Raw genomic sequence first — 23,889 nt, 5'->3', positions numbered from 1 at the left:
TGTGTGTTTGTATTTATCTGTATGTACGTTATTTTTATGTGGGTGAGATTTACCACTGTCTGTGAATGGGTGGGTGTGTATTTTGTGTGTGTGTGTGTGTGTGTGTGTCTTTGTCCTTCTGGAGTGCTGTTTTATAATAGCAGAGGTTTGTAAACCACAGATAACCAAGGGAAATGAAAGTCCTCCAACAGTGGGTTTACACTTTAACAATAACGCTTCACATCTCTATCACATCTCCATAGGGTGCCGTTCTTCTCAGAATTAAAACAAACAAATAAAAAACAATGTAACTTAAGAATGATCATGAACTTTGTTCTACAGATAAAGTAAGTAAATCCCAAAGACGTATGTGACTTTCCTGAAGTCCCATAAACACGTATGACAGAGCCAGGCTTTGTAACCAGGTCTGTCTTATGCCCAGCACAGTGCTTGTTCTTATAGACTATGTAGAGTTTACATTGAAACTCAAGTGTTGCTTCTTCCACTAGGGTGCTTGACCCTTTCAGCAGAAAGTCTTCTCTCTCTCAACATAGTGCACTCACTCATTCTCTCTACTGTTTATTTGGCATACTCCATTCCTTGCCTTGGAGTACCTCTTCTATATCAGCAGAAAAATTTCAGCATTGGAAGGATCTTAGGAGATCACCTAGTCTTGCTTTCTCTTTAACACTTCAACATGCACTGATTACATGCCTCCACTGTTAGAAAGCTCAGTTCTTCCTAAAGTTTTCTGTATGCATGATCATGTCATCTGCATACAGAGACAATTATATTTCTTTCTTTCCAATTTTGATGACGTTTATTTATTTATGTATTACTTGTCTAATTGTTCTAGCTAGGAATTTTAGTACTATATTGAACAGAAGTGGTAAGAGCAGACATCTTTGCCTGTTTTTCTAATCTCAGGCATTTAGTCTTTCACCATTAAGTATGATGCTAATTGTATGTTGTTGTTGTTTTTTAATGTAGTGTTTGATTACATCGAAGAAGGTATCTTCATTTTTTATTTTTTTTATTATACTTTAAGTTCTAGGGTACATGTGTACAACGTGCAGGTTTTTTACATATGTATACATGTGCCATGTTGGTGTGCTGTACCCATTAACTCATCATTTACATTAGGTATATCTCCTAATGCTATCCGTCCCCCCTGCCCCCACCCCATGACAGGCCCTGGTGTGTGATGTTCCCCACCCTATGTCCAAGTGTTCTCATTGTTCAATTCCCACCTATGAGTGAGAACATGCGGTGTTTGGTTTTCTGTCCTTGTGATAGTTTGCTGAGAATGATGGTTTCCAGCTTCATCCATGTCCCTACAAAGGACATGAACTCATCCTTTTTCATGGCTGCATAGTATTTCATGGTGTATATGTGCCACATTTTCTTAATCCAGTCTATCATTGTTGGACATTTGGGTTGGTTCCAAGTCTTTGCTATTGTGAATAGTGCCACAATAAACATACGTGTGCACGTGTCTTTATAGCAGCATGATTTATAATCCTTTGGGTATATACCCAGTAATGGGATGGCTGGGTCAAATGGTATTTCTAGTTCTAGATCCTTGAGGAATCGCCACACTGTCTTCCACAATGGTTCAACTAGTTTACGTTCCCACCAACAGTGTAAAAGTCTTCCTATTTCTCCACATCCTCTCCAGCACCTGTTGTTTTCTGACTTTTTAATGATTGCCATTCTAACTGGTGTGAGATGGTATCTCATTGTGGTTTTGATTTGTGTTTCTCTGATGGCCAGTGATGATGAGCATTTTTTCATGTGTCTGTTGGCTGCATAAATGTCTTCTTTTGAGAAGTGTCTGTTCATATCCTTTGCCCACTTTTTGATGTGTTTGTTTGATTTTTTTCTTCTAAATTTGTTTAAGTTCTTTGTAGATTCTGGATATTAGCCTATTGTCACATGAGTAGATTGCAAAAATTTTCTCCCATTCTGTAGGTTGCCTGTTCACTCTGCTGGTAGTTTCTTTTGTTGTGCAGAAGCTCTTTAGTTTAATTAGATCCCATTTGTCAATTTTGGCTTGTGTTGCCATTGCTTTTGGTGCTTTAGTCATGAAATCCTTGCCCATGCCTATGGCCTGAATGGTATTGCCTAGGTTTTCTTCTAGGGTTTTTATGGTTTTAGGTCTAACATTTAAGTCTTTAATCCATCCTTAATTAATTTTTGTATAAGATGTAAGGAAGGGATCCAGTTTCAGCTTTCTACATATGGCTAGCCAGTTTTCCCAGCACCATTTATTAAATAGGGAATCCTTTCCCCATTTCTTGTTTTTGTCAGATTTGTCAAAGATCAGATGGTTATAGATGTGTGGTATTGTTTCCGGGGGCTCTATTGTGTTCCATTGGTCTATAACTCTGTTTTGGTACCAGTACCATGCCGTTTTGGTTACTGTAGCCTTTTAGTATAGTTTGAAGTCAGGTAGTGTGATGCCTCCAGCTTTGTTCTTTTTACTTAGGATTGTCTTGGCAATGTGGGCTCTTTTTTGGTTCCATATGAACTTTAAAGTAGTTTTTTCCAATTCTGTGAAGAAAGTCATTGGTAGCTTGCTGGGGATGGCACTGAATCTATAAATTATCTTTGGCAGCATGGCAATTTTCACAATATTGATTCTTCCTATCCATGAGCATGGAATGTTCTTCCATTTGTTTGTGTCCTCTTTTATTTTGTTGAGCAGTGGTTTGTAGTTCTTCGTGAAGAGGTCCTTCACATCCCTTGTAAGTTGGATTCCTAGGTATTTTATTCTCTTTGAAGCAATTGTGAATGGGAGTTCACTCATGATTTGGCTCTCTGTCTGTTATTGGTGTATAGGAATGCTTGTGATTTTTGCAGATTGATTTTGTATCCTGAGACTTTGCTGAAGTTGCTTATCAGCTTGAGAAGATTTTGTGCTGAGACGATGGGGTTTTCTAAATATACAATCATGTCATCTGCAAACAGGGACAATTTGACTTCCTCTTTTCCTAATTGAATACCCTTTATTTCTTTCTCCTCTCTGATTGCCCTGGCCAGAACTTCCAACACTATGTTGAATAGGAGTGGTGAGAGAGGGCATCCCTGTCTTGTGCCAGTTTTCAAAGAGAATGCTTCCAGTTTTTGCCCATTCAGTATGATATTGGTTGTGGGTTTGTCATAAATAGCTCTTATTATTTTGAGATACGTCCCATCAGTACCTAGTTTATTGAGAGTTTTGAGCATGAAGCACTGTTGAATTTTGTCCAAGGCCTTTTCTGCAGCTATTGAGATAATCATGTGTTTTTTGTCTTTGTTTCAGTTTATTGCTGGATTACATTTATTGATTTGCGGATATTGAACCAGCCTTGCATCCCAGGGATGAAGCCAACTTGATTGTGGTGGATAAGCTTTTTGATGTGCTGCTGGATTTGGTTTGCCAATATTTTATTGAAGATTTTTGCATCGATGTTCATCAGGGATATTGGTCTAAAATTCTCTTTTTTTGTTGTGTCTCTGCCAGGCTTTGGTATCAGGATGATGTTGGCCTCATAAAATGAATTAGGGAGGATTCCCTCTTTTTCTATTGATTTGAATAGTTTCAGAAGGAATGGTACCAGCTCATCTTTGTACCTCTGGTAGAATTCGGCTGTGAATCCATCTGGTCCTGGACTTATTTTGGTTAGTAGGCTATTAATTATGGCCTCAATTTCAGAACCTGTTATTGGTCTATTCAGGGATTCAACTTCTTCCTGGTTTAGTCTTGGGAGGAGGCTGTATGTGTCCAGGAATTTATCCATTTCTTCTAGATTTTCTAGTTTATTTGCATAGAGGTGTTTATAGTATTCTCTAATGGTAGTTTGTATTTCTGTGGGATCGGTGGTGATATCCCCTTTATCATTTTTTATTGCGTCTATTTGATTCTTCTCTCTTTTATTCTTTATGAGTCTTGCTAGTAGTCTATCAATTTTGTTGATTTTTTCAAAAAACCAGCTCCTGGATTCATTGATTTTTTGAAGGGTTTTTTTTTTTTTGTCTCTATCTCCTTCAGTTCTGCTCTCATCTTAGTTATTTCTTGCCTTCTGCTAGCTTTTGTGTGTTTGCTCTTGCTTCTCTAGTTCTTTTAATTATGATGTTAGGGTGTCAGTTTCAGATCTTTCTTGCTTTCTCCTGTGGGCATTTAGTGCTATAAATCTCCCTCTACACACTGCTTTAAATGTGTCCCAGAGATTCTGGTATGTTGTGTCCTGTTCTCATTGGTTTCAAAGAACATCTTTATTTCCGCTTTCATTTCGTTATGTACCCAGTAGTCATTCAGGAGCAAGTTGTTCAGTTTCCATGTAGTTGAGCGGTTTTGAGTGAGTTTCTTAATCCTGAGTTCTAGTTTGATTGCACTGTGTTCTGAGAGACAGTTTGTTATAATTTCTTTCTTTTACATTTGCTGAGGAGTGCTTTACTTCCCACTGTGTGATCAATTTTGGAATAACTGCGATGTGGTGCTGAGAAGAATGTATATTCTGTTGATTGGGGTGGATAGTTCTGTAGATGTCTATTAGGTCCGCTTGGTGCAGAGCTGAGTTCAATTCCTGGATATCCTTGTTAACTTTCTGTCTCATTGATCTATCTAATGTTGACAGTGGGGTGTTAAAGTCTCCCATTATTATTGTGTGGGAGTCTAAGTCTCTTTGTAAGTCTCTAAGGACTTGCTTTATGAATCTGGGTGCTCCTATATTGGGTGCATATATATTTAGGATAGTTAGCTCGAAGAAGGTATCTTCTATTTCTAGTCTGCTGCAAAGGCTCTGTTTTGTTTCCATTGGAAACAGATGTTGAATTTTCTGTGTCTATTAAAATGATTGTATAGTTTATCTCTCTAAATTTGTTAATATGATAAGTCACATTGATAGATTTTCATATTATAAAACAACCTACTATGTGAGATTTATCCCAGGAATGTGTAGGTTGTTTTATCTGTTTGTTTTAATTAGGATCATTCTGGTCTCACAAAATGAATTATAAAATATTTTCTCCTTTTCAGTTTTCTGAAGTGTATCTGTCTTCTCAGAGAATCACTGTGGTTAAAATTGATAGTATTTTTTTCTTAATCATTTTTTAGAATTCACCAGTGAAGGCATCTGGGCTTAGACCTTTTCTTGCAAGAAGGTTTTTAACTACTAATTTAGTTATTTAATAGATATAGATTTACTTAGATTATCTGTTTCTTCTTGAGTGATCTTTGGCAGCTTGTGTGTTTTAAGGAACTTGTTCATTCCATGTAAATTATCAAATTTATTGGAAAAAGTTGTTTATGACATTCCGTTACTATTCTTTTGAAATCTGTTGAGATTATAGTGATATTAGTCTCATCTTGATATTGGTAATGTGTGTCTCCTCTGTTTTTTTTCTAGATCAGTTTGGCTAGATAGCTATGACATTTATTTGTATTTTCAAAGAATCAACTTTCGGTTTTATCTGTTTTTGCTTATTGTTTCCTATTTCATTGATTTATCCTCTAATTTTTATTATAATTTTCTTTGTTTGGCTTACTTTGAGTTTGGTTTTCTCCGCATTTTAATTTTTGAAATGGTAGCTGAGGCTATTGATTTGAGACCTTTCTTGTAATGTAGTCATTCCCTCTTAACTACTGCTTTAGTAGTATCTCAAAGATTGTGTTATGTTGCGTTTTCATTTTCATTCAGTTCAAAGTATTTCCAATTTCACTTTTGTTTTCTTCTTTGACTTATGAGTTATTTAGAGGCATGCCACTTCGTTTTCAAATATTTGGGAGTTTTTTCAGAAATTTTTGTTGTTGATTTTTGATTCCGCTATAGTCAGAAAATATGTTTTTATGACTTTAAACATTTTAAATTTATTGAGACTAGTTTTTGGTCTAGATGGTCTATTGCTGTATTCAGTGTTCACTTTAAAATAATGTGTATCCACTTATTTATGGGTATTTTATAAATGCCTGTTAGATAAAATCGGTTAATTATGTTATTCAAGTCTTCTGGAGCCTTTCTGATTTTCTGTCTTCTTGTATCAATATTTGAGAGAGGGGTATTAAAACCTCTGATTATGGACTTATTTCTTCTGCAGTTTTATCATGTTTTATTTTATATATTTTGAAGTTATTGTTATTTAAGTTCATAAACATTTAGAATTTTCATATTCTCTTGATGAATGGATCCCTTTATATTGTGAAATGACCTTGCATATTTCTGTTACATTCTGTTCTGAAATCTACTTTGTCTAAGTACTCCAGCTTTCTTTTGATTAGTGTTAAAGTCTATAATTTCCTATTACTTTACTTTTTTTTTGTTTTTTGAGGCAGAATTTCGCTTTTGTCGTCTAGGCTGGAGCGCAATGGCACAGTCTCAGCCAACACAACCTCTGCCTCCTGGATTCAAGCGATTCTCCTGCCTTAGCCTCCTGAGTAGCTGAGATTACAGGCACCCGCCACCACCCCAGCTAATTTTTGTATTTTTAGTAGAGATGGGGTTTCGCCATGTTGGCCAGGCTGATCTCAAACTCCGGACCTCTGGTGATCCACCCGCCTCAGCCTCACAAAGTGCTGGGATTATAGGTGTGAGCCACCGTCCGCAGCCATCACTTTACTTTTATACTATCATTGCTTTGTATTAAAAGTGTGTTTCTGGAAGATAGTATATAGTTGGATCTTATTTTTTAATCCAAGCTGGCATTATTAACTTTGGGGTGTTTAGACCGTAAAGTTGGGGTGTTTAGACCATTTATATTTAATGTGATATTTGTTTGTTTCTTTGTTAACTATTTATTTTAGAGTCCATGACCTGCTTAATAATGTGATATTTGTATGTTTAGGTTTAAGGTTATCATCTTTCTTTTTTTAAATATTATCCCATCTTTTATTTCTCTTCTTTTTCTATCTTCTTTTGGATAGTTTTTATGATTCCATTATATCTCCTTTGTTGACTTTATTAGCAATAACTCTTTTTTAAAAAAATTTAGTGTTTGCTTCAGGGTTTACAGCATGAATATCTAACATATCACAGTTACCTTCAAGTGATATAATACTATTTCAAGTATAGCATAGGAATCTTATAATAGTATACTGTTCTTCCTCTCTTCCAAGCCTTATGCAGTTTTTGTCATATGTGTTATTCACATATATGTTAAAAATTCCACAATTTATCTTTATTGTTTTTTCTTAATTATTTTTTCGGTATTTAAGTAATAGCATAAATGATTTTATATATTTACCCATGTAGATACTAACTTTGGTACTCTTCATTTCTTTGAGTATCATTCATGTTTTCATCTAGTGTCATTTTCTTTCAGCCTAAAGGATGTCTTTTACTATTTCTTATATTTTGTCAGTTAGTGATGCATGCTTTCTGATTTTGTTTTTGTAAGATATTATTGCTGTGCATGAAATTTTAAATTGACAGATTTTTATCCTAGTAATTAAATATGTTACACTTTGGTCTTCTTGTTTGCATTGCTTCAAATTATAAATCTGCCATCAGTCCTATCTTTGTTCATATATATATATATATATATATATATATACACCCATATATATAATTCATGTATATATGTGTGTGTGTGTATATATATATAGAGAGAGAGAGAGAGAGAGAGAGAGAGAGAGATCCTTTTTTCTGACTGATTCTAAGCTTTTCTCTTTATTAGCCATTTATTTCTTGTGTTTGGGGTTTGTTGAGCTTCTTGGATCTGTGGATTTATGGTTTCATTAAATTTGGAAAATTTTTGGACATTATTTTGTCAATTTAAAAAATCTCCCGCCATTTTTCTTTTCCTCCAACAACATGTATATTCAGTCACTTTAAGTTGTTACTCATCTCAGTGATGCTTTTTTCATTTTCAAAAATTATTTGTTATCTCTGTATTCCATTTTGGATAGTTTCTAGTGCATGTCTTCAATGCCTTCTGTGAAGTGCAATTTATTGTTCATCCCATCCAGCATTATTTTTCGTCTTGGACATTGTAATTTTCACCTTTGGAAGTCCAATGTGAGTCTTGTTAATATATTCTATTTCTTAATTTTTTTTACATATGGGATATAGTTACAGTAACTTTTAATGTTCTTGTTTGCTAATCCTGACAACTGGATCAGTTCTGGGTCAGTTTAAATTGATTGATATTTTTCCTTCTCATTATGGGTTGCATTTTCCTGCCTCTTTGCATGCCAGGTAATTTCGTATTAGATGCCAGACATTGCGATTCTTGCCTTGTTTGAAGCTGGATATTTTGTATTACTAAAAATATTTTTGAACTCTTTTGTTCAAAATATTTTGTTCAAACTCTTTTGTTCAAACTCTTTTGTTCAAAATATTTTGTTCAAACTCTTTTGTTCAAAAGAGTTCAAAAACATTTTGAACTCTTTTGCACAGAGAAACAATTTGATTCCTTTAGATCTTGCTTTTAAGATTTGTTAGATGGAACTGAAGCAGTGTTTAGTCTAGGGCTAATTATTGTCTACTACTAAGGGAGGACCCTTCAGTGTGCTCTACCAAGTTGCCCATAAGTTTTGAGGTTTTACAGTATGGCTGGTAGAGACAGGCACTATTACTGGCCCTTGTATGAGCCTCAGGCATTGTTCTCACTAATCCCTTTGTTTTGGGAGATTTCTCATGTACATACATCAATCAGTACTCTGATGAATGTTGACAGGAACTCCTCCACAGATTGCTTCAATTTTTCCTCTATGCAGCTCTCTCCTCTCCATTACTCTATCTTACGAAGTGTAATCACTTTGGTTTCCCTGGTCTCAGAACTCTGTCTGGGCAATTCAGGGAATCTGTCAGGCATTTCCTCTCCCTGAACAGTGGCTTGAAAACTCTCTAAAGGCAAAGAGAAATTTTAGGGCTCACATAATTTGTTTTCCATCTTTCAGGATCTCTGTACTTTGTTGCCTAATTTCCAGTTGCTGACAAGCTTGTTTTATGTTTTTTTGTTTGTTTGTTTGAGACGGAGTCTCGCTCTGTCGCCCAGGCTGGCATGCAGTGGTGCTGTCTTGGCTCACTGCAACCTCCATCTCCCAGATTCAAGCGATTCTCCTGCCTCAGCCTCCCGAGTAGCTGGGACTACAGGTGCGTGCCACCATGCCTGGCTAATTTTTTGTATTTTAAATAGAGACGGGGCTTCACCGTGTTAGCCAGGATGGTCTCGATCTCCTGACCTCGTGACCCGCCTGCTTCAGCGTGTGTGTGTGTGTGTGTGTGTGTGTGTGTGTGTGTGTGTGTGTGTGTGTGTGTTAATTTCTTAATGGTGTGGGCAGTAGGGCAAATAAATCCAGTCCTTGTTATTCCATTTAATCCAGAAATAGAAATCCAAGATTCTTCTTTATTTTCCAGGAAACAGTGCTCTAATCCAAGAGTTACTTTTTAAAATTGAGGTAAAATTTGTTTATTTTTGGTTATCTGGCCTAGGGTCACTTTACACAGATCTAGGCCCTTCTTCCTGTAGCCATTCAGAAGATTGAAGACAGTGACATACATGCTTCTGTCTTTACAGGGATTTTTTAACCTTTGTTTTAGGACTTGACTTTCATTCTCCACATTATCCAATTCCTGACTTTGTGGGTGGGCAGTTGTTTTTAAAGATACAAGATGATGAATCTTGTATCCTTATATGTTGGGGTTTCCCCACAGTGCCTGTCATACATGGATGTTCAGTTCACTGAACTGAATTGCATATGGTTAGACACATTCATGTCTTAACTTTTCGACTCTGCATTAACTCCTTGAGCACTGTGTAGTTTTATGGGGTCTTCTGTAGTCTTACAACCTAGCTGAGTACATGGTAAGCCTTCTAAAAATGTGTCATGACCAGTTGATGCTGTAGATGATTGGGAGGGTACATCTGAAACATTCACCTCATCTGTTTGCTTCTGTGTCACCTTTATCATGTCTAAACCCTCTGGAAAATGAACTTGGCTTAAATTGAAATTTCTCAGTTCACTCAGTTGAGTTTTATCTTTGAGGATACAAGCCTAATGAAAAAATATGGACTTGGGAAAACCTGGCTTCTGGATTTATTTTTCACCACTTCTCAGTGAGAGAGATCTAGGGGTAGTCAACATCTTTTCTAGGGTTCAGTTTCCTTTTCTGTGGAATGGGAAAAACAGCACCTTTTTCACAAGCTATTTTTAAGGGTTAATTCCAGCACAGTTCTTGAGACACAGTAGGTACTAATACTTTCTTGTTGTTTCCTATTTCCATGAATTAAAAAAAAAAAATTAAAGGGAGGAATAAATGTTAGGAAGAAAACAAAATAAGGTTTAAGACTTGTTTTGGTTAGACAGTTAGGATTACTCACACATTTGGTCAGGTGAGGCCAGAATAGGGAAACATAGGCTTTATCCTTTGATCTCTCTGAATTTTTGCTGGCAGCCAAGTCCAGTGCTGGAATTATTTATTTATCCACGAGCTCATGCGTGCATGTGCACAGGCATAGGTGCTTACACAGATCTCTCTCTCTCTCTTTCTCCCATGTGCACACATGAACACAAACACACACATACACACACACTTTATGGCTGCCATCTGTTTCACACCCTTCTGAACTAACTTTTGAAATGCTCACTCTCCCTCCCTGTCTCCTACCCCTGCCCCCACCTCTAGGTTTGGCGCCCTCTTTGTCTCCTTCAGAGAAGCCATCGCTCGGTCAGTTCCGGGACGCTGTTAGGAAAGCCAAGCATAAGTAGTCTCCTGTTCCAGTTGTTTTGAGCAGAAATGGGGCTTGTTGTGGGGGGTGGCTGAATGCCCCGCACGCTAATCTGTCATCAGTATTAAAAACAGACGTCTGGTTCTCCCTCATGGCCTCATCAGAACAATTGGCATGGGTTTCAGCCTCTTGGGCAGGGTAGATGTGGGAGTAAGAAGCTGGGCCGAGGCACAGGCAGATTTAATAAATCCAAATCTCCTGTTTGACCTACGAAGAAAAAGGCTCAGAGGAGATGGACTTGTCCAGAGCTTACACACATGGTGAGTTACTGGTACAGCCAGAGCTAGAACTAGGGCTCTGGTTTCTTTCCTATCTACTCCCACACCCTCATCCACTACATTCAAAGATTTTTCACTAGTTCATATTACCTCCAGTGTAGTTTGCTCTTGTTGAGAATAGACCTAGAGGCAGATGGAAATAAAGGGATATAGGACACTTGTGTGGCTTGACAGAATGGAGTATCTAGCCACTGACAGCAACTAGTGAGCAACTAGTGAGCTCTGATCTTGTAAAGGGGATTGTAGCCCATCAGGCTTCCCACTTCTTTGTCTGATAAACTAGCTTCTGTGAATCCCTAAAGTTCCAAGTAGAAGAACCTTAAGCATTGAAACCGCCACCCTCAGTGTAAGGATCAGAAGAGTGAGGACAAGAAGGGATAGGTCACACCTAGCATCATAATCTCCTGTTTTTCTGTCTGGTGATATTCTCACCACACCCCCATGCATTTTCTTTGGTCATCTTCTGCTCTCCTGCTGGATTTTTTTTTTAACTTTAAAAAAATCAGAAACTTCTCTTTTTCTTCATGGGATTCTCAGCTTCAGCTTGTTTAGTTCAGGGCTGGAAGGCCATCTGGCTCTGTTGGCACTCACAGAGGCAGCAGGCCCTATCCACTAGCCCCGGCACCTCCTCATACAAGGCAGCAACATCTGGAGCTGGTCAGTGCCCCTTTTCTGCCCTGGCATCTGGGAGCCTACTGGGCCTCTCCCCCCCGATCAGTATCACTCTTGCTTCCTGCCAACTCTCAACTCTTGTCTCTGTTTCTTTCTTCCTATATCCTTTCCTGATTATTTCCTTTCCTCTCTCCTTCCTTCTTTTCTTCTTTTTCTACCTTTATGTGTGTCGGCTTCCCTTGGTGGCTCTCTGTCTCTCTCTCTCTCTTCTTTTTATTCCATGTCACTCTGTGCCCATGTCTCAGCTGACCTTTGCTTGTCTTTGTCTCTCTAAGCTGGCTCTGATATGAGCTGCTGATTTAGACTTACATCCAGGTAAAGGAGAATGTCCAGAGGCCATCTGTATCCACTCTCAGTTCCCCTGTTCTTTCTCTGTCCCTGTTATCATTAAGGATAATCTACAACTGAAAAGACACTCCTCATCCCAACACACACACCATCCCATCTCAGACCTTAGACTGAAAATTTTCTCTAGTAAAAGGGAGCAGTTATGGAGGTGAATTTGTATGAGGAATAACTCAAGGTGAAGGACAGCAAGGTCTCTTTTCTCCAGTAGCTGAGAGGATGGTGGCAGCAGTGGCTGTGATGGAGCACTTACATTGTAGGTATTTATGAAATCTTGTGGAATTTACTCTTAGTTCCTCATGCAGTGTGGGCCATGGCTGAACCATGCTGTTCATCTGAGAAACTAGAGGGGACCTCACCCGCCTGCTCTCTGCTTACTCCGGGTCAGCCTGAGAGAGGTGATGTCATTGGAAACTAGGCTTTACTCTCTCAGCTAGAATTGGGGGGTGGGGGTGAGGGGAATATGTTTTACAGGGTGAGGTATAAACCCACATGATTGCAAACATCTGGAACTGATATTAGGGGCTCAGAAAATATTTCTGTCACTCCAGCTGCTTTCTGGGTGAAAGGTTTCTAAAGTCAAAGACTTCCAAAGGGAAAAGGTACTTGGAGAGTCTTTATCCTGTTCATTCCCCCATGCCACCCAGCCTGCCTTCTATATCACAAAGTTCTTTATAGCTCACAAAGCACACTCATTCATTTCATGAATGTGTGGGGAGCTGTTACTATGGTCTATGTCCTGGGTATGGAATGGTAACAGGACAGGCATAATTCCTGCCCTCATGGAACTTGCAGTCAACAAGGAGAGTGGTACAATTTAGCAAGAAATTGCTGGGATAGTATGGTGGGTGCTGAGGTAACTCAGATGCTGTAGGGGCATGGCAGAGAGATTTGAAATTCAGTCCATTGGGGATAATAAAGGCTACTCAGAGGAAGTGGGAAATTGTTTGAGAGTCTGGTTCCACTAATTAATTATATGGATCAACCTCTCATACACAAGACTATCAACCCCTCGCCTGGAGATCACTCCCAAGCTGATCTTTCTCCCTCCCTGTCACCATCTGTTGCCATTCTTGTCCTTAGTAGCAGCTTCCCGTTAGAGACGCCAAGAGAAGAAAATCTGTATTTCTCTCTTCACTCACCAGAATCTCCTTCCAGGCCAGGCAAGAATTATGCTAGGTTGGTACCTACCTTTCATCCAGAGAGTTTGCCCAGACTAAATCTATACTACCTTGTGTCTATGACATTGTTATTCCCCAAAAGGGGAAGTCAAGCTGAATCCAACCTTCATCCTCTTGCCTCAACTGAAACTGGTTCTTTAAGTATTTTAAGTTCCTGGTTTGCAGCTTTCTCTTCATCTGGGTTCTTGCCATCACAATAGGTAAGGTCAGGGTTTTTGTGGATTTTCTGTCCAACAATCCAGTCTCTCACTTCTTTGATCTGCTCATCTCCAGTGACCATTTCTCCATTCTGCCTCAGCCACCCACTCCTGGGCCACACTGTAGACTTTGTCCTCACATGATATTGTTCCATAAAAAGCCATCAGTTCTAACATCCCACTCTTTGACCATGATCTTTTATACTGTCAGTTTATAGATCTCCCACTCCAGCCGTGCCTTTTAACTCATTAGGACTTTCTCTTGCTTGGTAGCATTCCTTTTTCTCCATCTATCAGTTCCAACTTTTCTATCTATGGTAGAGTCCATGGTTCATATTTCAATCACTGCTTGTATCAGCCTCTCGATCTCCCTTGCCTTTTGGTCTTTTAATTTCCCTGCTTGGTCAAACACCTGCACTGGATGCATGCAACTCTCCATCTTCTGTGATGGTACAGTCACGCAGCTACAGAAAAACACAGTTTTGAATATTGTCATCAAAGTATCATCAGTCATCAGTGTTAACTGGACTCTTCATGCTTCCATTCAATTTTACTAGGTTTCTCCTGTCAACTTACATTCTTCTTCATCATTCTTTGAGATGGAGGTCTCGCTCTGTCACCCAGGCTGGAGTGCACTGGTGTGATCTCGGCTTACTGTAACCTCTGCCTCCCTGGCTCAAGCAATCTTTCTGCCTCAGCCTTCTGAGTAGCTGGGACTGTAGATGCATGCCACCATGCCCAGCTCATTTTTTGTATTTTTGGTAGAGACAGGGATTCATCATGTTGCCCAGGCTGGTCTCGAACTCCTGAGCTCAAGTAATCTGCCTGCCTTGGCCTCCCAAAGTGCTGGGATTACAAATGTGAGCCACCACACTCAGCCTTCATCATTCTTAAACCCATAATACCCTATTTTCCCTTTATTCATTAAGAACAATGATGGAGTAGTATAATTTTTCTCCAAACAATTTAACATTTTTCATGCATACTCTCCCCATTTCCTCCTGATATAATATAGGAGATGTCCTCCTTTCTTTCTAAAGTTAATCTTTTCATTGCAGTATTTCTTATGCCTTCCTAAATTATTAGGAATCTACATATAATCTCTCTCCTTATATCCTATATTTTATATCTCTCCTTCTCTAGTAGATTATTTACATCATTTATATGCTTATAAATTTTTCTTCTTAGAACAAAGACACAAACAAAACATTGCATCTTCCAGCATCAAAATGATCTCTTTCCTTTTCTTTATAAACACACCTTTGAAAGTATAGCCTACAATGGTTCACTTCATCTTTTCATTCCTCAGCTTACTCCCCTCTGTCTTCTGCTACCACCAAGTTACTAAAACATTTTTCTCCATGAACATTTGTGAACTCTATGTCATTAAATCCAGTGACATTTTTGGGTCATAAACTTACTTCATATCTCTATGCATTCTACAGGGTCTGAAACATTTGCTGTCCTTGGTTTCTTCAGTACTATACCTTCCTGGTTTGGTATCTAACTCTCTAACACCAACTTAGCCTCTCTTGCAGGGTCCCTTTATCTGTTCTTTATCTTGAAGCTCCTTATGGCTTGGTCCTGTATAATCTTTTCTCAATTTAATCTCTCTCTGGGTTACCACATCTAGTCCAATCATAACAATCAATGTAGTCATTGCTTTTACATTTGGGTCTCCACCTCATTCTTCGGAACCCCCTAATTATATTCAACTGACTATAAGCATCTGTAATTCGATATCTCACAAGCAATTCAAACTCAACACATTCAAAACTGGATTTGCTATCATCTCCCTACAAGTTTGCTCCTTTCCAATTGTTCATTTACTCTATATAGCTGGTGCCTCTATAAACTTAAGTTTCTTAAAGCAGTTATCTTTAACTCTTTTCTCTTGTTCACCTTCATGTTCAATTTATAACCAAGCTATTTTGCTTTGATCCCCATTATCTCTCAAATCGGGTCCTTTCTTTTTATTTCCGTTGCCTAATCTAAGCCACTCAACATCTTCTGTGATCATCTTTTAAATAGTCCTCACATTAGCCACTTTTCCCTCCCTTTCAATTCTCAACTCTAAAGCCAGAGTTACCTGTTAAAATATACATTTGATCATATCTGGCACAGTAGCTGGCATACCATGGGCACTCAATAAATATTTGATGAATAGGTATCTTATTTATAACTATGATTCTTCTAATTTAAACCTTTTAAGAACTTTCATAACTCTTCTAACTTCCAGATGAAAACTTTTTGACACATCGTACAAGGTTTGAATAATTGCACTTACCTACTTCTTCTCTCTACTATTGATGCTACAGATTTTCTTTCCCACTTGGGTCTGTACAATGAGGTCTCAGTTTAAATGTCACTTATCTGAATCCTTAGATTAGATTTGGCCCTCTTGTTGACTACATGAACTTTTAGCATTCTATACTATTCCTAGCTTGGTAGCACTTATTACAATTCTCAATATATTTTGGTTGGTGAAGGCAGGAATGTAGCATTTGCCTTTCTCACTAAAATATTAGCTTCTCCAAAGTGTTGTTATATTTATCTTTTTTTTAATCACCCTATCCCCAGTGCCTAGTACATTGCCAGGCACATAGTAAGCACTCAATAAATACCTGAAGTGTGAACAGGCAGTAGTGAAATGAAGTGAAGATTGAGGGGCGGGTGGGATGGAAAGCGGTTCAGGTAGAGGAAACAGCACGCACAGTGGCCTTAAGGAATAAAAGGACAGTGGGGCTGGAGTTTAAATTCTGAGTATGGAATTTAAAAAGAAGGGACTATAGGAGGGATGAAATTATAGAGAGTGATTTAAGTCATGGTAAAGAGTAAAAGTTTTATCACCCTGGCTGCTCTATGAAGTATGGATTGAAGGACCTTCAAATCCATTATCTTATTTTATCTACAAATTAGTCCTTCCAAGTAAGAGGACAATATTATCTACATCTACAGATGAGGGAGTTGAGGATAAGTCTTGTGAAGTTGATAGTTGAAGGTCAAACTTCTTATAAGTGTGGAGTCAAGAATTGAATTTACATCTTCTGACCATTTAATCTACATTTCTCTATTGCTCACTGCCAGTGTAATGACAGCCAGAGGCAAGAAGCCCATGGATCAGGGGATCAGGAAGAATGGCTGAGTAGTCTTTTTCTTTTTCTTTCTTTCTTTCTTTCTTTTTTTTTTTTTTTTTTTTTTTTGAGACAGGGTCTCATTCTGTTGCCCAGGCTGGAGTGCAGGGGCCCAATCACACCTCGCTGTAGCCTCTATCTCCCGGGCTCAGTCAGTCCTTCCACCTCAGCCTCCCAAGTAGCTGGGACTACAAGCATGCATCACCACTCTTGGCTAGCTTTTGTATTTTTTTGTAGAGATGGGCTTTTGTCATGTTGCCCAGGCTGGTCCCAAACTCCTGGACTCAAGTGATCCACCCACCTTGACCTCCCAAAGTACTGCGATTACAGGCATTAGCCACCATGCCTGACCAGAGTAATCTTTAATATAGAAGTTCATTGCTCTGAGAAATTATTCTGTGTGGCATCAAGGTGTGGACTAGGAGATCCAGGCTATAGGACTAGGGTTTAGTTTCTGTTGTCCACTTAGACGGATGGCTGACCTTGGTCTGAACACAGCCATTAAATAGATAGCCTGAGGGTGAAGAGAGAAAATAAGAAAAGGGGTACAGTTGTAAAGTCCCTTCCTCCTCCATCTGACATGGGGAGGTGGAAGGGAGGTAAAATTCCCCTCTCAGACATTATTGATGAACTTTGAAAAATATAGGTTAATTACTTCATTTTGTCTCAAATCTGTCCTTGTTTTTCTCCCCACTAGGGGCACCTTGTGTATTTCCACTATGACTTCCTCACCAGGCTGTCCTGCCTCTTATCTTGCCCCTATATTCAATCTTCCTTATGCTGCCAGTCATATCTGTCCATACCAGTGTTTCTCAAAACACATTTTCCATATGTGAATTGCCTCAGGGAAAAATATCAGAACTAAACGCAGGTGCTTCTCAGAATTGTTGTGAGCAACAGATGAAATGATATATGTTGTCTGTAAGATGCCTGGGGCATGTAGATGATAGCCAATAATCATTCATCCCCTTTACTTTCTCCTTACCTTCCTTTTGAAAATGAACACAGTTACAATACTCTCGCTTATCTGAAATATTGGCTTTAACTTAGAGATAGCAAACCAGTGGCTACATAATGTTTTTAAATATTTGAATAAGTGGCTATCACTTGAAATCTGGATGCTTTTTATGTGAAAATCTGGATTCCTGGCTTCTGCTGGAAAATAGTGAGTTCTGGCAACTTTAGACTCACACCCTCACGTGACAGCAGTAGGCAGGAGAGTTGACTAGCAGCTTTCCACTTTAGAGAATGCATGGAAACTCTAGGTCGTCTTAATCCCCTCTTTTAGATTTTCTGACATCCAACCCACTACATTAACTTCTATTATCTGCTTTGCTCTGAAGGTATTTGAATGTGTCATCTTTAATTTAGACCAGGGACAGAGGATAGCTTCTCTTGAGAATGTCACCATGCCTTGGAATATTTTCCCCTGCCATTCGCCATTATTTAGACAGTGGTATTTTATCTGACTGTTCAATAACAGAAATGCCTCATAAAAATAGCTTCCATTTTTAAACGTTCATGTGTGCCCCACAAGACTCCTAGCTCTGTGAAGGTATCTTCACCTCTGTGAAGGTTCATCTAAGATACCTAGTTCAACTGTATGAATTATCCATCCTCTCCTAGCATAAAGTCTGGTTTAAAGTAGAAGTCTAATGAGTAATCATTAAATGAGAGCACTGAATGAATAAAGTAGAGATGCCATGTTAAGCTCATTTAATTCTCACAATAATTCTATGATGAAGTTACTCTTGTTATTGTCTCTTTACAGAAGTAAAAACTGAGACTCAGAAGTAGTCCACTCAGTCACAGGCATCTAGAATCCTAAAAATATGTGGTTGGTTCAAAAGCAATTGTGGATTTTGCTATTACTTTACTTTCAATGGCAAAAACCACAATTAATTTTGCACCAACCTCATATCCTATCTAGAAGATACTTACAGATCAGTTAAGCCAACCCCCTCTTTTCACAGATGAAGCAACTGAATCCCAGTGGTGAAGGAACTTCCCCTGAGTCTCCTGGCAAGTTATGGCCGACACATACATGGGGTCTTCTGGGTTTCAGCCCAGTATTTTACCCCATACCACCTGCCTTCAGGAGTATCCAGACTTGGATTTATTTACCAATTCCATTCTCAGACTTCATAAACTTCCTTTTAACTTCCCTTTTCCTGAGTCATTCTGTCCTACCTCCCAAAGGAGAGATTTTGGGTACTTCCCTGGAGCCATCTGAGATGAGATCAAGGAGCTGTGCTCACATGACCCCAACCTCCCCAGGGAGAACTCAATTACCCTGTTCTGATCCAGCCTCACCTACCCCAGTGGGAAAAGGTGAGGGTGGAGTTCCCTGGAAAGAGAGAATTTGGTTATTAACCAACAATGAAGGCAAGATTGTAAGAGAACAATTATGAGCCCTGTTATAATTGCCCTTTAATCTATAATTGCCAGGTTTGTCTCCAGCTCACCTTTGGGGTCTGTTGACCCATTAAAAAGCCTCAGGCACAGCTGACATCAACGATGTAGGAGAGCTTTTCAGCACATCAGAGTTCCCTGGGAATACTCACTCCAAGATTCCAAAGGCTTCTTAGAATCACAGAAAATCTGGAACTCTAGTGAACACAGCCCTCTACCCAATGTAGAGATCACAGGTAGCCACCTACCCAATATCCCCTACCCACCCCTCACCTCTCACTCACATTATACAGATGAGAAATAAGACTTAGAGAAGAAAAGTGACTTGACTGAAGTCATTCAAAGTTCATGAATATAATTCTGTAGCTCCTGGGACGTATTAATAGATCAAGGCCAGGCATGGTGGTTCACGCCTATAATCCCAGCACTTTGGGAGGCCGAGGTGGGCTAATCATGAGGTCAGGAGATCAAGACCATCCTGAACAACATGGTGAAAGCCCGTCTCTACTAAATACAAAAAATTAGCCGGGCATGGTGGCCCGCTACTTGGGAGGCTGAAGCAGGGGAATCCCTTGAACCTGGGAGGTGGAGATTGAAGCGAGCCAAGATCGCACCACTGCACTCCAGCCTGGCGACAAGAGTGAAACTCTTATCTCCAAAAAAAAAAAAAAAAAAAAAAAATAGATCAAAAGTCATGGAATATTTTGTATCTTCAGCATTGACCATTCAAGTTTCAAAGAGTTGGATCACAATGCCTATGGCTTTGGGTTCACTCACTGCCCTGATCCTGAGTTCTGGGGAGAATTACCTCTGGAAAGGGTACCAATTTCAAAGGCCAGAAAAAGATGGAAGCCATACATTCTAGTAGGCAAGAAAATACATTTTTTAAAAATATAACCATCCTTGAGAGATAATCCCCTTATATTTGGAGAGGAGAACAATATAACCCAAACTCTTTCCCTTCTTGAGTTGACTTTTAGGAAGCTGATGACTAACTTGACACGTGAGAGCAGTAACAACACTAGCCTACTTTCTCATTGTTAGACACACCAAGCTTGTTACTTCACATCTACCTCCCTCTGCTTTGAATTTTCCACCCTTTCCTCTAGTGATTCCCTTAACTGGAATTGTTAACTCCTTTATGGGAGTTAATGGGATTAAGCACGTGAGTCTTAATCCCATTTTCATCTGCACAGAAAGCCTTTCCTGACTACCTAAATATCAGGTTTCTTCTCTGTCATTTTCTATCACATCCCTCAGTATTACTACCCTTATGTCATTCAGCATTTGTTGAAATTATCTCATTTATTTATATATTTGCTCATTTACTTTTGATTTGCCTGCCCTTTAAAAGACAGCTTTATTGAGGTATAATTGATATATAAAAATTGCATACATTTAATATATAGATACTGATGACTTTGGACATGTGCGTGTATCCATGATGTCATCACCACAAGCAAGATACAAACATACCCATCGCCTCCAATAATTTTATTTTGTCCATTTATGTGTGTGTGTGTGTACATGTGTGTGTTTGGTAAGAACACTTAACATGACATCTAGCCTCTTAACACATTTTAAAGCACACAATACCATATTCACTATAGGTGCTATGTTTTACAGCAGATTTCTAGAACATATTCGTTTTGCATAACAGAAACTTTATACTCCATTGAAAACCAATTCCTTGTTTCCGCATTCCCAGCACCTGGAAACCATCACTCTATTCTCAGCTTCTTTGACTTTGCCTATTTTAGATACCTCTCATATAAGTGGAATTAGGCAGTATTTGTTCTTCTGTGACTGGCTTATTATACTCAGCATAACGTCCTTTAGGTTCATTCATGTCATTTCAAATGGCAGAATTTCCTTCTTTTTTAAGGCTGAATGATAATCCATTGTATGCATATACCATGTTTTCTTCATCCATTTATTTGTCGATGCACACTTGGGTTATTTCTCTATCTTGGCTACTGTGTATAATGCTGCAGTGAGCACGGGGGTACAGATATCTTTCCAAGATCCTGATTTCAATTATTTTGGATATAAATCCAGAAGTGGGATTGCTGGATCATCTAGCAGTTCTATTTTTAATTTTTTCAGGAACCTGCATACTGTTTTTCATAGTGGCTTCGCCTTTCTACATTCCCAACAGTGATAAGAGTTCTCTTGCTCTTGAGCGTAAGCTAAGTGTAATCATGCCTTAGGACCTTACTTGTCCCATTCCATGCTGTATCCCTAATATCAAATATGTAAATTATGCTATTGTCATATGTCATGAAACAAGACAGTCACACCACAAGCAGAAAGGTATCTAATGTAAACGGAGCCCAAACAAGAATGAAGCAAGAGTGGCCGGGCGCGGTGGCTCACGCCTATAATCCCAGCACTTTGGGAGGTTGAGGTGGGCGGACCATGAGGTCAGGAGTTCAAAACCAGCCTGGCCAACATAGTGAAACCCCGTCTCTACTGAAAATTCAAAAATTAGCCAGGCATGGTGGTGCGCCCCTGTAGTCCCAGCTATTCAGGAGGCTGAGGCAGGAGAATCTCTTGAATTGGGAGGTGGAGGTTGTAGTGAGCCGAGATCACACCACTGCACTCCAGCCTGGGCAACAGAGTGAGACTCCGTCTCAACAACAACAACAGCAACAACAAGAATGAAGCAAGAGTAATGACATTTGTTAAGTACCTACACCATACCAGAAATTTTGTAAGCATTGTGGGAAGTGTAAAGCTATTAAAGGGAAAGAGAAGATAGTCAGCATTTATTGAACACCTAGATGCCAAGTTATCCTATATAATCATCAAAATTGTTCTGAAAATTAGTTAGTATTATCTTCATTTCACATGTGGGAAAACTCAGGTTTAGAGGGGGCATAGTCACTTACTTAAGGGCATAGAAGTATTAAGTTTGAACTTGAACCTAATTCTTTCTCACTCAGAAATTCTGCTCTTTATCCCTACTCTTGATGGCTTCCAAGGAATCCCTGAAGGGGAAATTATGTATGTATGTGTGTATGTATGTATGTACCTATGTATTTATTTATTTTAATAAAAGGAGAGGAGAGTATAATGAAAAAAACTTGAGGGGGATGTGCTTTTGGCTGAGGGTATGGGGACCATGCTAGGAGCTATTTTCAAGACAGAAATCATGGGAAGACTTAAGCTCTGAGCCAGGTCATATCCTGAGCCAGACACTGCGAGTCACCATGTTTCATACATTGGGTGCAGATGTTCTGTCATCAATGCATGATGAATCATGCCTTAGGAAGGTCAGATCTGGCTGTTCTGCAGCAGCTGAGCTTCTCAAAGGAGTTCTGGGCCCATAAAATAGGGAAGCAGAGGTGATGGAAATGACATCCAATGAGTACTGTTAACTGGCTGAACATAAAGTGACTGCAAAATCGAATGTCAGTGAGACTGGACTCTTCTGATGTTCCTCACCTACTATTAGCTACGTGGACAGTCTTGATAATTATATAGTTTATAAGTGAGGTTCTTCTCCACATGTAGAGTTGATACTAGTGGCTTGTATTTTAAAATTTATTTCTAGCTGACAAACAATTATTGACTACTAGTTCTAATTACTGGGGAAATTCCAGAGACAGGTCTAGCTGTAATTCAAGGTAGAAGATGTGTACTCATTCTGTTTTTGTTTTGATAACCCTAAAACAGAGCTTGAGCACAGATTAGGTAGGTATCCATAGGAAACAGTTATGAAGGATCATGAACAGGACCCAGAAGGGGAAAAAGCCAGTACAGGGATGTGTTCACAAGATTACTATTGATGTATTGAGGCTCTTGCTGGCTTAAAGATGCAAAGCTAGATTATGTCTTCTCTAGCTCCCTATCTCAATTGTTTAAAGATTGATGTTTCTTAAACTTCTAGGCTATACTTGCTCATATGAGCTGAGAGAGGTCCCACGGCATCATTGAAGGCCTTGGGGCAGGAAGTGCAAAGATATACCTGGCATATATTCAAGGAGGTAGGTCTTGGGGCAGCGCAAAGTGAGTTTGAACTCACATTGGAACTGTCCATTGCAATTGAGGCTGAAATCAGAGGCTAAGGATGTGCGGCCTTTGTGAATAAAGTGGGCTTTCATCTCAACCTGGAAGGATGGAAGGGATTTCAATAATAGAGAACAAGTAAGAGGAAATTCAGACAGATGGAAGAGCATAAAGCAAGAAAATCATGAAGATGGAAATGAAAGGTGTCTGGAGAAGTATAGAATGAGCAAGACTGGAATTCATGGTCAAGCGGATGAAAGCCTTGAAGGCTAGGTTATGATATCTGAAGTTGATTCTTTGGGCACTTGAGAGTGATGAAAGTTGTTTATGGGGCTAAGTTGTGATTAGAATACACTTCTCATTCTCAGTTAAGAATGGCTAGATGCAGGTGAACTATCACAGGTGGTTGTAGTATAGAGTAGGCTCTGCCAGACTTGGCTTGCATAGGATCTTGGCAGCAGAACAGAGGATATAATTTGGACAAGTGAAATGAAGGTAAAGATAAAAAGCAGGTTACCTCCCTTCAGACATTCTCTTCCTTTAACATACATGTGGAGAATGGCATTAGCATTCTACTCCACCAACTGGGACAGTTTGATAATTTTTATTAATGTGTGGCCTACTGAGTTACCTCAGCCTTCATCCATCAAGCCCTGTATCATGCCTTCGGCCCACGCCCAGTGCCTCAGAAGCCCATATATCATCCCTTCAGGCAGGGAAGCAGATTCCCTTTTATTTCCCTTGCAAAAGCACAGATGTTACCGCACCCAGCCTTGTCTGGGGTTCAGGCACTGCTTCTCCCTAAATGACCTCCTTGGAATCTTCATTCCCATTGCATTCCAGACAGACAGGCTTTTCTTTTGTTCCTTCACTCAAGAGCTGCCTCCACCCCACTCTTCCAATTCATGTGTCATGGGCAACATATTTGTGTTGCCACATCTGCCTTGTCCCAGCTGCTGAGTCCATTTGC

General features: G+C 39.2%; 1 protein-coding gene and 1 long non-coding RNA gene across 9 annotated transcripts in view; one reads left to right on the top strand and one right to left on the bottom strand.

Annotated features, from left to right (window-relative positions):
• Positions 1 to 19,042, bottom strand: part of LOC105376240 (uncharacterized) — a 46,451-nt gene extending 27,409 nt beyond the window's left edge. The window contains exon 1 of the long non-coding RNA XR_930277.3: positions 18,962 to 19,042. This is a non-coding gene — a long non-coding RNA (uncharacterized LOC105376240). The remainder of the gene's footprint in view (positions 1 to 18,961) is intronic.
• ASTN2 (astrotactin 2) overlaps positions 1 to 23,889 on the top strand; it is a 991,946-nt gene that overhangs the window by 798,169 nt on the left and 169,888 nt on the right. Inside the window, exon 5 of one of the 8 annotated variants that reach the window (NM_001184735.1) lies at positions 3,284 to 6,045. The exons of the other annotated variants lie outside the window; for them this stretch is intronic. Coding sequence (NP_001171664.1) covers positions 3,284 to 3,357 — 74 coding nt within the window. The 3' untranslated portion in view covers positions 3,358 to 6,045. Of the gene's footprint in view, positions 1 to 3,283; positions 6,046 to 23,889 lie in introns of those variants that run through there. 8 annotated transcript variants of the gene reach the window in all.

This window comes from Homo sapiens, chromosome 9 (assembly GCF_000001405.40).
Source record: "Homo sapiens chromosome 9, GRCh38.p14 Primary Assembly".
Taxonomy (NCBI): Eukaryota; Metazoa; Chordata; class Mammalia; order Primates; family Hominidae; genus Homo; species Homo sapiens.
Note: the sequence above shows the minus strand (reverse complement) of the source record. Positions and strands in the feature narration are given on the sequence as shown.